Source organism: Homo sapiens, chromosome 16, assembly GCF_000001405.40.
Source record: "Homo sapiens chromosome 16, GRCh38.p14 Primary Assembly".
In the NCBI taxonomy this organism is placed as follows: domain Eukaryota; kingdom Metazoa; phylum Chordata; class Mammalia; order Primates; family Hominidae; genus Homo; species Homo sapiens.
The window spans coordinates 35,163,576-35,182,748 of NC_000016.10; the positions used below are offsets into that span (position 1 = coordinate 35,163,576).

General features: G+C 43.8%; 2 pseudogenes across 1 annotated transcript; one reads left to right on the forward strand and one right to left on the reverse strand.

Moving 5' to 3' along the window:
- Positions 1-5,855: 5,855 nt before the first annotated feature.
- Positions 5,856-6,816, reverse strand: UBE2MP1 (ubiquitin conjugating enzyme E2 M pseudogene 1; annotated as a pseudogene). Its single transcript, NR_002837.1, has one exon. The product of NR_002837.1 is annotated as a ubiquitin conjugating enzyme E2 M pseudogene 1 (transcript).
- On the forward strand, positions 9,982-10,516 carry SLC25A1P4 (solute carrier family 25 member 1 pseudogene 4; annotated as a pseudogene).

The window sequence follows — 19,173 nt, forward strand, 5'->3', positions numbered from 1 at the left end:
GAGGTACAAGGAGGAGCTGGTAACATTCCTTCTGAAACTATTCCAATGAATAGAAAAAGAGGGAATCCTCCCTAACTCATTTTATGAGGCCAGCATCATCCTGATACCAAAGCCGGGCACAGACACAACCAAAAAAAGAGAATTTTAGACCAATATCCTTGATGAACACTGATGCAAAAATCCTCAGTAAAATACTGGCAAACCGAATCCAGCAGCACATCAAAAAGCTTATCCACCATGATCAAGTGGGCTTCATCCCTGGGATGCAAGGCTGGTTCAATATACGCAAAGCAACAAATGTAATCCAGCATATAACAGAACCAAAGACAAAAGCCACATGATTATCTCAATAGATGCAGAAAAGGCCTTTGACAAAATTCAACAACACTTCATGCTAAAATCTCTCAATAAATTAGGTATTGATGGGATGAATCTCAAAATATTAAGAGCTATCTATGACAAACCCACAGCCAATATCATATTGAATGGGCAAAAACTGGAAGCATTCCCTTTGAAAACTGGCACAAGACAGGGATGCCCTCTCTCACCACTCCTATTCAACATAGTGTTGGAAGTTCTGGCCAGGGCAATTAGGCAGGAGAAGGAAATAAAGGGTATTCGATTAGGAAAAGAGGAAGTCAAATTGTCCCTGTTTGCAGACGACATGATTGTATATCTAGAAAACCCCATTGTCTCAGCCCAAAATCTCCTTAAGCTGATAAGCAACTTCAGCAAAGTCTCAGGATACAAAATCATTGTACAAAAATCACAAGCATTCTTATACACCAACAACAGACAAACAGAGAGCCAAATCATGAGTGAACTCCCATCCACAATTGCTTCAAAGAGAATAAAATACCTAGGAATCCAACTTACAAGGGATGTGAAGGACCTCTTCAAGGAGAACTACAAACCACTGCTCAATGAAATAAAAGAGGATACAAACAAATGGAAGAACATTCCATGCTCATGGGTAGGAAGAATCAATATAGTGAAAATGGCCATACTGCCCAAGGTAATTTACAGATTCAATGCCATCCCCATCAAGCTACCAATGACTTTCTTCACAGAATTGGAAAAAACTGCTTTAAACTTCATATGGAACCAAAAAAGAGCCCGCATTGCCAAGTCAATCGTAAGCCAAAAGAACAAAGCTGGAGGCATCACACTACCTGACTTCAAACTATACTACAAGGCTACAGTAACCAAAACAGCATGGTAGTGGGACCAAAACAGAGATATAGATCAATGGAACAGAATAGAGCCCTCAGAAATAACGCCACATATCTACAACTATCTGATATTTGACAAACCTGACGAAAACAAGCAATGGGGAAAGGATTCCCTATTTAATAAATGGTGCTGGGAAAACTGGCTAGCCATATGTAGAAAGCTGAAACTGTATCCCTTCCTTACACCTTATACAAAAATCAATTCCAGATGGATTAAAGACTTAAACATTAGACCTAAAACCATAAAAACCCTAGGCATTACCATTCAGGACATAGGCATGGGCAAGGACTTCACGTCTAAAACACCAAAAGCAATGGCAACAAAAGCCAAAGTTGACAAATGGGATCTAGTTACACTAAAGAGCTTCTGCACAGCAAAAGAAACTACCATCAGAGTGAACAGGCAACCTACAAAATGGGAGAAAATTTTCGCAACCTAGTCATCTGACAAAGGGCTAATATCCAGAATCTATAATGAACTCAAACAAATTTACAAGAAAAAAACAAACAACCCCATCAAATAGTGGGCAAAGGACATGAACAGAAACTTCACAAAAGAAGACATTTATGCAGCCAAAAAACACATGAGAAAATGCTCACCATCACTGGCCATCAGAAAAATACAAATCGAAACCACAATGAGATACCATCTCACACCAGTTAGAATGGCAATCATTAAAAAGTCAGGAAACAACAGGTGCTGGAGAGGATGTGGAGAAATAGGAACACTTTTACACTGTTGGTGGGACTGTAAACTAGTTCAACCATTGTGGAAATCAGTGTGGCAATTCCTCAGGGATCTAGAACTAGAAATACCATTTGACTCAGCCATCCCATTACTGGGTATATACCCAAAGGACTATAAATCATGCTGCTATAAAGACACACGCACACGTATGTTTATTGCGGCACTATTCACAATAGCAAAGACTTGGAACCAACCGAAATGTCCAATATTGATAGACTGTATTAAGAAAATGTGGCACATATACACCATGGAATACTATGCAGCCATAAAAAATGATGAGTTCATGTCCTTTGTAGGGACATGGATGAAATTGGAAATCATCATTCTCAGTAAACTATCGCAAGAACAAACAACCAAACACTGCATATTCTCATTCATAGGTGGGAATTGAACAATGAGAACACATGGACACAGGAAGGGGAATATCACACTCTGGGGACTGTTGTGGGGTGGGGGGAGCGGGGAGGGGGGAGGGGTAGCATTGGGAGATATACCTAATGCTCGATGACGAGTTAGTGGGTGCAGTGCACCAGCATGGCACATGTATGCATATGTAACTAACCTGCACATTGTGCACATGTACCCTAAAACTTAAAGTATAATAATAAATAAATAAATAAATAAGAAAAAAAAGAACAGAAATTATAACAAACTGTCTCTCAGACCACAGTGCAATGAAACTAGAACTCAGCATTAAGAAACTCAAAACCGTTCAACTACATGGAAACTGAAAAACCTGCTCCTGAATGACTACTGGGTCCATAACGAAATGAAGGCAGAAATAAAGATGTTCTTTGAAACCAGCGAGAACAACGACACAACATACCAGAATCTCTGGGACACATTCAAAGCAGTGTGTAGAGGGAAACTTATAGCACTAAATGCCCACAAGAGAAAGCGGGAAAGATCTAAAATTGACATCCTAACAACAAAATTAAAAGAACTAGGGAAGCAAGAGCAAACACATTCAAAAGCTAGCAGAAGGCAAGAAATAACTAAGCTTAGAGCAGAACGGAAGGAAATAGAGACACAAACAACCCTTCAAAAATCAATGAATAAAGGAGCTGGTTTTTTGAAAAGATCAACAAAATTGATAGACTGCTAGCAAGCCTAATAAAGAAGAAAAGAGAGAAGAATCAAATAGATGCAATAAAAAATGACAAAGGGGATATCACCACTGATCCCACAGAAATACAAACTACCATCAGAGAATACTATACACACCTCTACGCAAATAAACTAGAATATCTGGAAGAATTGGATAAATTCCTTGACACATACACTCTCCCAAGACTAAACCAGGAAGAAGTTGAATCTCTGAATAGACCAATAACAGGATCTGAAATTGAGGCAATAATTAGTAGCTTAGAAACCAAAAAAAAGTCCAGGACCAGATGGATTTACAGCCGAATTCTACCAGAGGTACAAGGAGGAGCTGGTAACATTCCTTCTGAAACTATTCCAATGAATAGAAAAAGAGGGAATCCTCCCTAACTCATTTTATGAGGCCAGCATCATCCTGATACCAAAGCCGGGCACAGACACAACCAAAAAAAGAGAATTTTAGACCAATATCCTTGATGAACACTGATGCAAAAATCCTCAGTAAAATACTGGCAAACCTAATCCAGCAGCACATCAAAAAGCTTATCCACCATGATCAAGTGGGCTTCATCCCTGGGATGCAAGGCTGGTACAACATACGAAAATCAATAAACGTAATCCAGCATATAAACAGAACCAAAGACAAAAACCACATGATTATCTCAATAGATACAGAAAAGGCCTTTGACAAAATTCAACAACCCTTCATGCTAAAAACTCTCAATAAATTAGGTATTGATGGGACGTATCTCAAAATAATAAGAGCTACCTATGACAAACCCACAGCCAATATCACACTGAATGGACACAAACTGGAAGCATTCCCTTTGAAAACTGGCACAAGACAGGGATGCCCTCTCTCACCACTCCTATTCAACATAGTGTTGGAAGTTCTGGCCAGGGCAATCAGGCAGGAGAAGGAAATAAAGGGCATTCAATTAGGAAAAGAGGAAGTCAAATTGTCCCTGTTTGCAGATGACATGATTGTATACCTAGAAAACCCCATCGTCTCAGCCCAAAATCTCCTTAAGCTGATAAGCAACTTCAGCAAAGTCTCAGGATACAAAATCAAGGTGCAAAAATCAGAAGCATTCTTATACACCAATAACAGACAAACAGAGAGCCAAACCATAAGTGAACTCCCATTCACAATTGCTTCAAAGAGAATAAAATACCTAGGAATCCAACTTACAAGGGAGTGAAGGACCTCTTCAAGGAGAACTACAAACCACTGCTCAATGAAATTAAAGGGGATACAAACAAGTGGAAGAACATTCCATGCTCATGGGTAGGAAGAATCAACATCGCAAAAATGGCCATACTGCCCAAGGTAATTTATAGATTCAATGCCATCCCAATCAAGCTACCAATGACTTTCTTCACAGAATTGGAAAAAACTACTGTAAAGTTCATAAGGAACCAAAAAAGAGCCCGCATTGCCAAGTCAATCCTAAGCCAAAAGAACAAAGCTAGAGGCATCACAGTAGCTGACTTCAAACTATACTACAAGGCTACAGTAACCAAAACAGCATGGTACTGGTACCAAAACAGAGATATAGACCAATGGAACAGAACAGAGCCCTCAGAAATAACGCCGCATGTCTACAACTATCTGATCTTTGACAAACCTGAGAAAAACAAGCAATGGGGAAAGGATTCCCTATTTAATAAATAGTGCTGGGAAAACTGGCTAGCCATATGTAGAAAGCTGAAACTGGATCCCTTCCTTACACCTTATACAAAGATTAATTCAAGATGAATTAAAGACTTACATGTTAGACCTAAAACCATGAAAATCCTAGAAGAAAACCTAGGCAATACCATTCAGGACATAGGCATGGTCAAGGACTTCATGGCTAAAATACCAAAAGCAATGGCAATAAAAGCCAAAATTGACAAATGGGATCTAATTAAACTAAAGAGCTTCTGCACAGCAAAAGAAACCACCATCAGCATGAACAGGCAACCTACAGAATGGGAGAAAATTTTTGCAACCTACTTATCTGACAAAGGGCTAATATCCACAATCTATGATGAACTCAAACAAATTTACAAGAAAAAAACAAACAATCCCATCAAAAATGGGCGAAGGATATGAACAGACACTTCTCAAAAGAAGACATTTATGCAGCCAAAAACCACTTGAAAGAATGCTCATCATCCCTGGCCATCAGAGAAATGCAAATCAAAACCACAATGAGATACCACCTCACACCAGTTAGAATGGCGATCATTAAAAATCAGGAAACAACAGGTGCTGGAGAGGATGTGGAGAAATAGGAACACTTTTACACTGTTGGTGGGACTGTGAACTAGTTCAACCATTGTGGAAGTCAGTGTGGCAATTCCTCAGGGATCTAGAACTAGAAATACCATTTGACCCAGCCATCCCATTACTGGGTATATACCCAAAGGATTATAAATCATGCTGCTGTAAAGACACCTACACACGTATATTTATAGCGGCACTATTCACAATAGCAAAGACTTGGACCCAACCCAAATGTCCAACAATGATAGACTGGATTAAGAAAATGTGGCACATATACACCATGGAATACTATGCAGCCATAAAAAATGATGAGTTCATGTCCTTTGTAGGGACATGGATGAAACTGGAAACCGTCATTCCCAGCAAACTATCACAAGGACAAAAAACCAAACACCGCATTTTTTTTTTTTTTTTTGCAGTAACATTCCCCTTTAATAGCCTGGTGGGACCTCCAGAGGTGGAGGGGTGGTTTGTCTGGGCCCAGCTACCCAGGCCCTTTGGCTGAACAAGCACCCAGCAGGGGGGCTAGAACAGCCAATTCATTTCCCATCGCTGAGTGGGTCGGGGGAGGCAGCGCTGACCTTAATCACATGGTGTTAATAAAAAATAACTAGGGGCACGTGGCAGGAAGGGGAGGCAAGGCCAAGGCAGGGGATTCCCCCACCGGCCGCCCCCCAAACCCCTACCGATGGCCCCCAATAAATATTTGCAGGGGATGCCAGGGCTTGCGGCCGTGGCGGGGGTGGGTATGCGCCAACCCTATTTCAGGCAGCGCTCGAAGTAGGTGGAGCCTATGTAGCCATCCCGCATGGATGGCTGCACGTTCTGCTCCAACAGCTGCCGGTTGTTCTGCAGGACCTCTGCGGCCTTCTTGTTCAGTGGGTCCTCGGGGTTGGGCTCCAAGTAGAGATACTGCAGGCCATAAATTATGGAGTTTATCGTAAGGACTGGCTTCCAGTTCTCTCTGAGGATGTTGAGGCAGACGTTGCCCTCGATTTCAATGTTGGGGTGATAGACCATTGTCTCACACTTCACCTTGGGGGGATCATGCGGGTAACCCTGGCCCACCTTAAAACTGAACACAAACTTCCCACTCTTGTAGAAGCCCTCATCAGGACAGATGACCAACTTGAAGTTGAGGAGGTCGTCTGGATCTGAGAAGCTGATATCACACGTCTTGGGCAGGTTCAGCTCGTTTATGTCCTTCTGGATCCGCAGCTGCGCCGCCGACGCCTTCTTGCTGCTGCGCTTGGTGCCTCCCGCCGACTACTCCTCCTTCTTCTGCTGCTTCAGCGAGAACAGCTTGATCATCCTACCGCTGCCGCCGCGGGGCCCGGGACCCCGGCCACCCGGCCCCCAGCCGCCGCCCGCGTCGCCTCCGCTCCTGGGACTCGCAGCTGCGGCCTCCTCCGCTACTGCCGCAACCCGCCCGGCCTGCCGCGCCGCTCCGCTCCTCTCCGCGCCCACCGCGCGGCCCGCCCGCATGTTCTGACTCATAGGTGGGAATTGAACAATGAGAACACATGGACACAGGAAGGGGAACATCACACACCGGAGACTGTTGTGGGGTGGGGGGAGGGGGGAGAGGGGAGGGATAGCATTAGGAGATATACCTAATGCTAAATGACGCGTTAATGGGTGCAGCACACCAACATGGCACATGTATACATATGTAACAAACCTGCACGTTATGCACATGTACCCTAAAACTTGAAGTATAATAATAATAATAATAATAATAAAAGAAAAATTTAATGTCATAGTATTGACTTTAGTGCATTGCAAGCCCCTTTTGCTCAGTAACACACTCACTACTGGAGAAACCAAACCCTGAAAATTCAAGAACCTGGGCATTAATAATATTGCTGACAAGTTATTTATACACTGCCTACATGAGTATTGCAGATATATGTTAAAGACAAAGATCCAAGTCAGACTGGGTCAGCTTTATTCATTCATTCATTCATTCATTCCTTCATTCATTTATCTTTTGAGACTGAGTCTCACCCTGTCTCCCAGGCTGGAGTGCAGTGGCACAATCTTGGTTCACTGCAACCTCCGCCTCCCAGATTCAAGCGATTCTCCCGCCTCAGCCTCTCAAGTAGCTGGGATTACAGGCGCCCACCACCATGCCTGGCTAATTTTTTGTATTTTTAGTAGAGATTGGGTTTCACCATATTGGCTACGCTGGTCTTGCCTGACCTCAGGTGATCTGCCTGTCTCGGCCTCCCAACGTGCTGAGATTACAGGCATGAACCACTGTGCCGGCCCTTGGCTCAGCTTTATACTTGGTCATTTTAGTTCCAATTCTTCTCTCTCAAAATATAAGTCGCTTGTTGCCATTTTGATTATTCCACATGCATTGTGATCATATGGAACTGGTGACACGTGTTCTTATTTCCCTTTCAATTACAAAATGAGCTCCATGTTCTTAGCCATCAAATCTCACCAACACCTACTTACTTTAGTTTCAACTCTGGTTCCTATTACAAAGATCACTCAAATCACAGAAAGACAAAAATGTTTTAATCAACCAAAAAAATTTTAACCCCTGGTGTCATGTAATTTGGTTTTTATTTGTTGTATTTTCAGGTCCATAAAGCCTACAAATATTAATAAAATACAGTTCATGATGACTTAATTTTTATTGAATAGTAAAATAAATACATGTCAAGAGTGGATGTGGCTTCAGGTATAACTGTCATCAGGGCTGAAGTGTTATAACCAGTGGTCAAGGAGAAATGTCAGTGTATAATCTGACTTCCTACACTGGAATTATGCATCAATGCTTTAAATGTCTGAAAAGAATCAAAGTCACAGAGGGAAATAAATGAAATGGAAGAAAATAGAAAAGTTACAAATTAGTTTAAGAAGGAATTAAACCTGGTTTTAAAATAAAGACATACAAATAAGAAAAATACTGAAGAACAATTAGGTTAGGTAGAGCAACACTGAAAGTATGATAGGAAATAAATGTATTTAGAAATATTAGTCTCTGAGTTAAGTTTATAGCTGTAGAGACCTGACAAAGAGTTGCTCCTACATTAAACAAACAAAAAAGCTGGAGAAAATGCAAATGAATGAATGGCTTGTTCCGAGCCCTTTGGAGAATTGAGGTCACAGAGGAGACAACAAACCCAACATCAAGGCATGCAGGAGCCTGCAGGTCACACAGGCCCCAGGCTTTTATGTATACCTGGAAGACCATGGAAACTAGCAAAATTAAAGCAGGACTTTTGAACTAGTTCCTGGTGGCTGTGTGTGGGTGGGTGGGTGGGTGGGTGAAGGGGAATGAGAAATCCTGGAGTCTACAGACATAGAGTTTACACCTTTGTGTATGATTTTTCTAGGAACCCTACAAGGCCTGTCAGGGAGGGTGGGGTATAATCCTGAGAATGCTTCCCCCATGGTGCTGATAGGGAGGGACCACTATCCCACCCACTGCTACAACTCTGGAGACATAGCTTTCCCATCTCTGCTATAGAACACAAGGCCGGGGAAAGAGCATCCAAACTTGAACCAGAGGGAACTGTGAAAAAACTCACTGCAGCTGATGGTGGAGAAACAAGGTCAACACCCACATCTCTGCCCAGATACATCTCCCATAAAGAAACTAAAGCATTAGTTTACAGGGCACTGTTGCAGACCCACTCACACTTCAACTAGAAGCTAGGAACGTGGACAAGGAGCCTCTCTACCACTGGGGGAGGGACAGGAATGTACTCTTGTTCTGGCATTGCATCTACAGGAGGGGCAGGAAACTTTGAAGGTCGGTAACCCCACACCCCAGTTCACAGTGCTGAGTGTGAGGCTTCCTCAGAACATCAGATATCTCCTCATTCCCTCACCCCTGCCACCAGGCTAAGAAGCACGGAATAAAAAGAACAGTGGAACATATTATAGCTGGGCCAAGTGCAAGAGACCATCTCTGGTAAGCTGCACAAAGGAAAGGCACAGTAAACCTGGGCGATATTAGCAAAGTATCATGAGAAGGATTTGAATTCCCTGGTTCTCAGAAGGATATTGCTGCCATAACAAACTCTAATCCCAGCCTACCTCTCAAACATTACCAGAAACCCCTACCTTAAGGCATACCTAAGGGAAAACTGCTCATCAATAACCTAAAAACTGCCCTCGATCAATGTCAGTGAGCTGATGAAAACAATAAAAATAAAAAACCTATTTACCCCAATACACTATCCTATACAACAATACTATTGCTTTCAATAAAAATTACAAGCCAAGACATCCCATTTTATGTTTATGTGAGATCTTTATTTGTGTCAAAACCAAATTAAGGTCAGAGCGGGGAGTTCAGGAGGCTCAGACCAAGGCGATGCCGGGCGTCACCCCTCCCGCCCACCATGGCAGCGCAGCGTTCTGGAAGGCCGAGGGGACTCTCCCGGGGAAGGCGATCACGGCAGGTGGCCTGGACGGCAGCATCCACACCTGTATTCCGTTTCCCACCGAGCACGTGAGGACCAACGAGCGCTCGCCCCCGCCGGGCACCCGGCATGGGGGCCTGTGGGGCACAGTCACAGCCACGGCGTCCTGGGCCTGAACCGCGGCCTCAGCTTCCTGCTCTGCGGCTCCATCCCCGAGGCAGAGTCAGGTTCGGGAAGTTGGAGTTCCTCTGCACCCAGATGTGGAATGCCCAGGGACTGCTGAACAGCAGGCGCGGGCTGCTGTGAGGTCTAGACACCGGCATGGCCGAGGCCATGGTGGTCGTACGTCCCATGGAGACCATCAAAGTGAAGTTCATCCACTACCAGACCTCCCCAAACCCAAGAACAGATAATTCTTCGGGGTTAGGGAGATTATGCGGGAACAAGGGCTGAGGGGACTTACCAGGGCCTCAGGGCCGCCGGGCTGAAGCAGGGCTGGAACCAGGCCATTGTTTCTTTGTCCTGACCTCCCTGCAGCAACTGGTACCAAACAGATAAGCCCATGAACCCGCTGATCACTGGGGTCTTCTGAGCCATTGCAGGCACAGCCAGCGTCTTCGGAAACACCCCTCTGGACGGGATCCCGAGGGGCTCAAGGCCTTCACAAGGGCACTGTCCCATGCCAGTCACTGACGGAGTCTGCCTGGATGTGGCCATAACATTTATCATCTACAATGAGGTGGTGAAGCTGCTCAACAAAGTGTGGAAGAAGGACTAAGCCCAGAGGGGCTGCGAGGGGACACTCCAGGCACCTGCAGAGTGGCTGCCACCCCTGTCTCACAGGATTCCAGGGCAGAAGGGCCAAAAGGCCCCTTCCCACATCCCTTGAGCTCTGCGGCCTGCTCTGTGCATTGTGGCGTCAAGTCACTGTGTCACATAGAGCCATGTCTTCCCTGTGGTCTGTGTGTGAAGCCACCACTGTGTCCACAGGTCTGGCCCAGCCATGGCTGGCTGTTCATCTGGCCTGTGAATCTGCGCCCACTTGTCCATGTGCTTACTGTGAGCCTGGGCCTGTGTTTCATGTTCTGTGTCATCTGACACTGTGCCTCGCCTGCCGGGGGTACTCATGTGGCCTGGGTCCTTGGCTTTGTAGGTCTGACTAGGTCCCAGTCCAGTGCCTTCCACCCTGCCCCAGCCTACCACAGCTGCCTCCTGGCCTTGGCCTGTTTTCACCTCATTCAAGGGGCTGCACCCCCACCTTCGCCTACCATTGGCCTTAACTGGCCCTCTGGGCCTCCCTTAGTCCAGGACAGGGTGGCACCTACGACTCTCAGGACCACCCTGCCAAGGCAGAATAAACCTAATCCTGTTGTTAGGAGTTTGAGACCAGTCTGACCAACATAGCGAAACCCCGTCTCTACTAAAAATACAAAAAATTGGCTGGGTGTGGTGGCAGGTGCCTGTAGTCCCAGCTACTGGGGAGGCTGAGGCAGGAGAATCTCTTGAACCTGGGAGGCAGAGGTTACAGTGAGCTGAGATTGTGCCATTTGCACTCCGGCCCAGGTGACAGTGGGAGACTTTGTCTCAAACAAATAAAAATTAAATTAAATTAAATTAAAATTAAAATATGATTAAATCATTATAAATTAGTTCATATTTAGTGTCAAGATAAAAAATGTCATAAGTGAACAATTTGTTGTAAAATGAGAAATAGTCGAGTAAAACTGCAATTAGAGTATAACATTTAAAAAATCACACATTTTCTTACAAATATGTTTATGTGTTCATAATATATGGTATGTAGAAACACCTACCAGTTAGTTATAATTCAGTGAGACACAAGAGCAAAATCATGCAAAAATTATAGACCTCATTGATAAAATTCTGCCTCCTCCAACTTTCCACCTGAGACTTGAGTACTCATCAGTAATGAAGCTAAGAAACAGATACCAAGGTTTGTCTTGGAGTCATTCTGTGTATATGAATTTTTGTCCCTGAGACATGGGTATAAAGAATAAATGCTATCATTTCATTTCCCTCTGGATTTATTACTGTCATGTCACCTGTAGAAGTAAGACACTAGGCTCTGGGATTGGTAGAAATGAGAGTCACCAAAGCAAAATCTGAACTTACCTAATTCCTGGAAAAGTAGAGTAGCAGCAGCTGGGTCCTAAACTTGGTAATGAGTGAGCTCATTTTCTTCAGTAACATTGCTCAGGTGCATTGTCTGGTCTCAGTACTCATCAAAAAAAAAAAAAAAAAAAAAAAAAGTTAAAGAATAACTATAGCTTCAGACATTTTTATTTTTATATCATATTACCAAATGTATTATTGCTGAATAATGAACAAATTATATGTACATGTAATGAGATGGATAAACATCACAAATATAATGTTGCATAAATTCAACCAGATTAAAAATATGCATACTATCTAATCCCATTTATTAAAACTTCAAAAAGCGAACAACATTCAGTTTCTGTCTTCAAGTAAGGGTGGAATAACTGGTGGAACTAATACACTCACAGAAAAACATAATAAATTCTTGATAAAATATTATATGTAGTAATATACAAACATCTCTACATGTAATACATATGACATGATAAGGGTAAGAATTGAATGATAATTTTAGCTTGGTCCACTGTAGCGGATATGGGGATATTAGCCACCATACCCGGCTAATTTTTTGTATTTTTAGTAGAGACGGGGTTTCACTATGTTGGCCAGATGGTCTTGAACTCCTAACCTCATGATCCGCCCGCCTTGGTCTCCTAAAGTGCTGGCGTTACAGGCGTGAGCCACTGCGCCCGGCCATATTTTTATTTTTTTAAATTTGAAGATATTTTAATATATCTCTAATACTTAAGAACTGTTTGAACAATTACGTGATAAAACAAAATTTTAAAATATTTTACAATAATGATATTTTAGCAGATGGCCATAAGGAACATTGTGTTTAATTGTATTAGAGTAATTGCTAATAAACAGGTCAGTTTTTTTTTTTCTACCACAAAACTATCTGAATTATAGATATTATCTACCACTGCTGCCACCAGGCTTGCAAGGAAGCATGGAGCCTGGGCACCTCTGTGCACCTAGCAGTGAAATCCATGGCTGGCTCTGCAGGGGAGATGTTCGAGTGGGCCACATGCCCACAGCTGTCACTCTTCACTGCACCCACCAAGGGAGTGGGGCAAGGCTCACCAGTGACAGCCCTGGAGCACAGCTGCTCTGCCTGCACCCTGGAATTTTGGCTGCTGCCCAGTGTTCTTCTGAGATTACAGCCTTGCGTAGGTCTGCATTCTGTCCTGGGGCCCCCACTGTCATCACCACTGCTGCCACTGCCACGGCCACTGCTGGGCCAGGCAGGCAATGGGTGACCAGGCACTGCCACACACCCCAATGAAGGATATTGCTGCTGCTCCTGTGGGAGAAAAACGTGGGTGGACAATGTGCCCGGCATCTGCCTGCCTCCACTGCTCCCCCTGAGGGAGCCCTGCCTTCCCTGGAACAGGCCAGCAGCACAGCTGCCCTCCTTCCATGTGATGATTTTAGCCGTGGCCTGGGGCCTTGCTGCGAGACCAGCCCTCACAGGCCTATGATCTGTCCTTGAGCTCCCACCATCTGAGTGCTCTGCTTGGCCCTGCCTGAGAGTTAAGCTGGTGACCTAGGGACCAGCCTGCTCCTACATGTCACAGTCAACACCTGCACCCTGAAGACCTGAGGACAAGTTCACTGGCCCAGTTCAGGTCAAGGACCTCCAGGACTCATTCATGCTGTATAGAGGACCATCGAGAAGCCTGAAGATTGGGAGACTGCCTAGCCCAGTCCACCACTCCTGGCACCTTATCACTCACCTCAGGGTCTGTGGCTAGGCTGACCCTACCAACTGACACCACCACAGACGGCACTCACCTATATGTGGCAAAAGGCAAAGCCTGGCCTCTCTAAAGAAAGCAGCAACATCCCTGCCTGGAAGATCAGGTGAACCACAAAAATGTCTGTATTGGGCTGAGTTAATAGGTTCTGCCCCATAGCCGCTCCTATGGAGAAGAGTGGAACAGAAGTTTTCTGTGGCTCTCGGGTACACTGTGGTCTGGAGAAAGATGACAGCGTCTGTCTGAACGGAGAGTCTTGAGCCCTAGAACAGAAGTTTGATAAGGAAGCAGATCACATTTTTTTTTTTTCTGTACAGGGTGACCAGTCTTTTGGTTTCCCTGGGCCAGGTTGAAAGAATTGCCTTGGACCACACATAAAATACACTAGCAACAGCTGATGAGCTAAAAAAAAAAAACGCAGAAAAAATTACGTAATGTTTTAAGAAAGTTTATGAATTTGTTTTGGGACACATTCAAAGCCATACTGGGCCACATGCACCTTGTGGGCCACGGGCTGGACAAGCTTGGTTTAAGATGTGTAGCTGATATATCTCCATTCCCCTCTGCAGCCTCACCAGGAACTCTCTCAGCCATCCCCAACAGGGCTAGTGTCTGTGCTCGTCATTGGGGTATTCATAGATGAACTTGGTGGTTCAGCTCTGCCCAGCTTTGTCCCCTCCTGGATGAATGGGGAAATAAAGGCACTGAACTTTTCACAAACCAGATCATCACCTGAAACAACAAAGAGCACCTCTCATTAAAGAAAGATCAAGTACATTTGCATATACTTCTGCCGCAACTGGCTGTTATCCATAACCACTATCTATGACTCATTTTGTTCCTAACATAACCCAGTTCTGCATGTACTCAGCACATATATGCAGGGCCTAGATGCGCTGGCCTCAGTAAGCATCACTGTGAGGAGAGAAATTTCCTGGAAAAAAGTGTTGCATTAAAAAAATTAACACTATGCCACTTTTCAAATTTAGGTAAAAATAAAAAGACCTTGTTTCACTTGATAATTAGGGCATGAATAGACTTCTGAATATTCAAACTCATCTAATAATGTCATGAGAGAACATGTCTGCTTTAACCAAAACAAAATACTGTTGTTATTCTGAGATTTTGGGTTGGATTTTATGTGAAAATATGTAATATTTTCATCACTTTGTGATGTACGACAGGCATACAAAAATACATTCACAAAGTATTCATGCAAAGCTTGATGAATTATTGCAGAGCAAATACACTTGTGTAGCCAAGAAAGAGAACCAGCATCACTCATGCCCTGGCAATTACTCTTTTCCTCCCTCCCTCCCTCCAATGGCAGCTAAGCTTTTAATAGCCTACATTGTACAGTAACTTTGTATTTTTATACAAAATATTTTATTACAGAAAATTTTAAACATGTACAACAGATACAAAATCGTATAACAGACCCATCACCCAACCTCAACAACTACTAATCATGTGCCATTTTGTTTTATCTATACTTCAACCTAGCTCACCCCTACTTTATTATTTTTCTATTTTTCTTTGTGAGGTCATATGTACATTGAAAGGCATGAATCTTAAATGTATGACTTTGACAGACAAATATACAATATAACATTCATAACTTTTAAGAATAGAATTTTTACCATCTCCAAAAAATTCTCTCATGCTCCTCTCTGGGCAATTTTTTTTTTTGCCCCCAGAGTTTATTTCTTTGTTGATTTTTTTTAAATTATAGGTTCATTTTGTCTGAAATTATACAATATGTATTATTTATGTGCAGCTTGTCTCACTTAGCAGGTTCATGAGAATCATCCAGGCTGTGTGCTTCAGTAGTTTGCTCCTTTGTATTGATGAGTAGTACTTGGTTGTATGAATGCTCTACACTTTGCTCATCCATTTTCTGTTGAAAAACATTTAGGTTACTTTCTGCTTTGGGTTATTATGACTAAAAGGTCTATACACATTCTTGTACAATACTTTTTATATGTAATTTAATTTCTGTATCAGCATTTAAGTGACACCGCTTTGCATTTTTTTAGTGATTGGTCCAGAGATTACAATATGTATTTTTGACATATCACAATCTACTTAGAATTAATACATTTTAATACATGTAAAATATAAAGACTTTCCTACATAACAGTTCCATTTTCCTCCTTCTATCCTTTGTGCTGCTCTTGTAAATTTTACATTGAAACACTACAAATCTCATAATACACTGTTAATTTTTTGCCTTAAGTAATTATAGGTCTTTTAAAAAATTAAGAGAAAATAATATTTTAAAAATATTTGGAAGCCAACACTTTGGGGCTATGAAAATACATTTTTTCTCCTTTAAATTTTATCCACAATTTAAAAACTCGTTAGCAACTTTTGCCTACAGTCGTTATTACTGGGGTGTTCTAGGAGTGATTTTCTGTTTTGAAGTATTCATCTACATTGGTAGATACAGTACTTGGAATTCTGTAAAGATTTTCTTTCTTCCTCCCCTCCTCATTCCCTCATTTCTTCCTTCTTTCCTTATTTATTTCATCTTTTCTATATTGGTATGGATGTGTGGATATGTATTTTATTCTTTGGTTATAATTTAATGCTATCATTGTTTATTTTGCTGCTCACATTGTTCCACCTTGGGCCATTGGGAGGTCTTACAGGGTCGCTCCTTTTGACATGCTCTCTTGTATGTTTTTAAAGCACTTTTTGAGTTTCTGGCTGTATAAGATACTCTAGGCTCAACTTGTATTTTCTATCTCCTGCCCTAGAATTATCCACTGTTACAAGTAGCCCTGGTTCTTTTTACTGAAGAACAGTATTTAGAAATCAAGATCCGAAAGTTAGGTGTGCTCATTGATACTGAAATGTCACTGCTTCTGGGCCCTATTAGCAGACAGGGTTTGGAAACGTATGTATAAACATAAACTAAGGTGTGCACACATATCTCCTTCTCTCTCTCTCTCTCTGGATGGATATATTGCAATAGAAATGTTTATTCTGATATTTCCAGCTCCAGATCAGCATGACAGGGTTCATTATAGTATACCCTTTTTATTTTCAACTTTTTTCAACTAGAGTGAGGAACAGGCACTAATAATCAATCATATATAAATATATACACTAATATGTAAAGCAGTTTCAAAATTGCTAATTCATAGCTTTACAGGAAAAAAAAACCCAACTAGAATACAGTGTTGGTGTACAGCTTTTGAGAATTACAGCATTCAATCAAAACACTGTTTTCCAAAGTGACTCAGGTCAAGAATTTTCATCCCCACCATCTTCAATAGGTTTAGGCCATACATTTGTAGTACGGTTAAACTCATTTATCACCTACTGCATTTCATCTAAATGTCCCAACTTTCTGGTTATTTTTTTCAATTTGCATCAAGGACATTTACTCTTTGTGGTCTACAGTTCAATGTGATTTGTCAACTGTTTAGAGTAACATCCGCCTTCACAGTACCACACAGAACTGTTTCATTATCCCCCGATTCTCTCATGCTGCCCCTTCTTAGCCAACACCTCCCCTCATCCCATTCTTTGGCATCCACTAATCGCTTTTGATCTTTATAATTTTCTTTTTCTACAATATCATATACATATATAGAAACATATAATATGTAGCCTTTTGGATCTGACTTCCTTCGTTTATAGAAATAAACTTAAGATTCATCAGTTTTGTGGTGTGAAGCAATAGTTCCATTTTGTTGAAAAGTAGGATTCGATTCTGTGGCTACATCACAGTTTATTGATCCACCTGTTGGGGGACATCTGGTTTATATTTAGCTTTTTGCAGCATGGCCCTTCCCCAATTCTGAGCATTCTCAAAGCTAGACCATGTATCCTCACCTCTCCCAACCTGCTTCCCCCAAGTGGTTGCTCCTGCTAAGAGGGTCAATGTGCTCCCTCCTGGCCTGGGAAGCTTCTGGACATAGAGGTATCTCCCTAGGGAGCTCCGTCCCACCCAGGAAAATACACTGGGGCAGGCCCAGGACCCAGTGGTAAGCTCAGCTGAATGGATGAGGCAGGACAGGCCTTGGAAGCAGTTTGCTAGGAGGGGAAAGCCAGCTGCCTGCAGAGCTGGGAGCCTCAGAGGCAGCCAAGAGGTATCAGCCCACTAGGATCTGAGACCCTACCCCACTCTCCGAAGAGCTCCAGGGCCTGGCAGGCACCAGGTGAATGAGGATGGCATCCTTGAGGCCCCACCTCTTCCCCTCCTGGTGTCCAGGGCTGCCAGTAACCACTTCCTCACAGCTCAACTCATGTTCCTTCTTGGGGTCTGCCTTCCTGCTGGGACTCCTGGGGAGGCTGGCGTATCATCCCCCAGGAGGGAGGCGCCAGAAGCCCAGGAAAGAAAAGGGAGGCATTCCCCTCTCCAAGTTGGCCTCACTGCCATCCACCCACAGGGACATGACCGTCACATGGAGGAGGACACTGAGGCACAGGTGAGAGCAGTGTGGCAAACACTGAGAAGAGCCAGCTCCCAGGGCTCTGGGCTGCCCTCCTGAGCATCCTGGGGTGGGAGACAGAGACCCCTGGGTGATAGAGACAACCTGTCAGGCTGTGGAAAGGGTTGTTTTCTGAGACAAGGAGACCACAGTGTTTCGATGCTGCCCACTGCCAGATGGTGCCTTCTGAAATGCAGACTGGTAACCCTCAAACTCAAGTCCACAATGCGAGAAACACCTAACACCTGCCTAGGATGGCCAGGTGGGCAGGGGCAAGCAGAAACTCAGGGTGAGGTCACTGGAGAGTGTGGTCCAGGCAGGGTTTGAGGGCTCAGTTGAGGCCAAAAATTCTGATTCCCTCCCGGGTATGCTCCTCTCCTGGGACCTGCTGCCCTGGTGTCCCCCATGTCCATCCCCCTAGCTGAGTCCTCCTCACCTCCTTTCCTGCTCTCCTGTGTGGGCTCAGGGCCTCAGCCCACATAGCATCAGTCCCTAAGTTGTAAATTTCCCCATATTCATTCCACAAAGACCTTTGTCTGCACAAGCACATCTGTCTCTTGGTCCTCCAAAACTAGAAGTCCCATCTCTCTGACCAGCCCTCCACAGCTGGGCAACATCCACCTGCCACTGCTGGAGGCCAAAACACCCCAACATTGTCCCACTGACAGCTCTCTCAAACCCACAGTCCCTCTGCAGGAAATGCTGTAGACATTGCTTTTACAGCTGCCCTCTGCTCCCACTGGGCCAGAGCATTCACCTCTGGGTGCCCTCAACCCTGGAACCACTTGTTCCCTGGCAGCCACCTGAGCCACATGCCCTGCTATCCTCACATCTACAGTAGCCCACCTCTCCAAGGGCTAGCACCAAAGTTCCCAGAGTCCAGCCCTGGCCTCCTCACTGCTCCTGGATCCCCCATAGTCCTGGGCCTCAGTCTCTCCACCTGCAGTATGGGTGCCCCTCCATCACCCCCAGCCTGCCACCCAGAGCCCAGGCCAGGAATCTAGAATCATTTTGATAGCCTGGCCTCTATTCCATCCTGTTGGGACCCGGGCTTTTGGTGTGACCTGAAGGAGATTGTCCACCAGGCATTTGTCCCTCCCCTGCCTGTT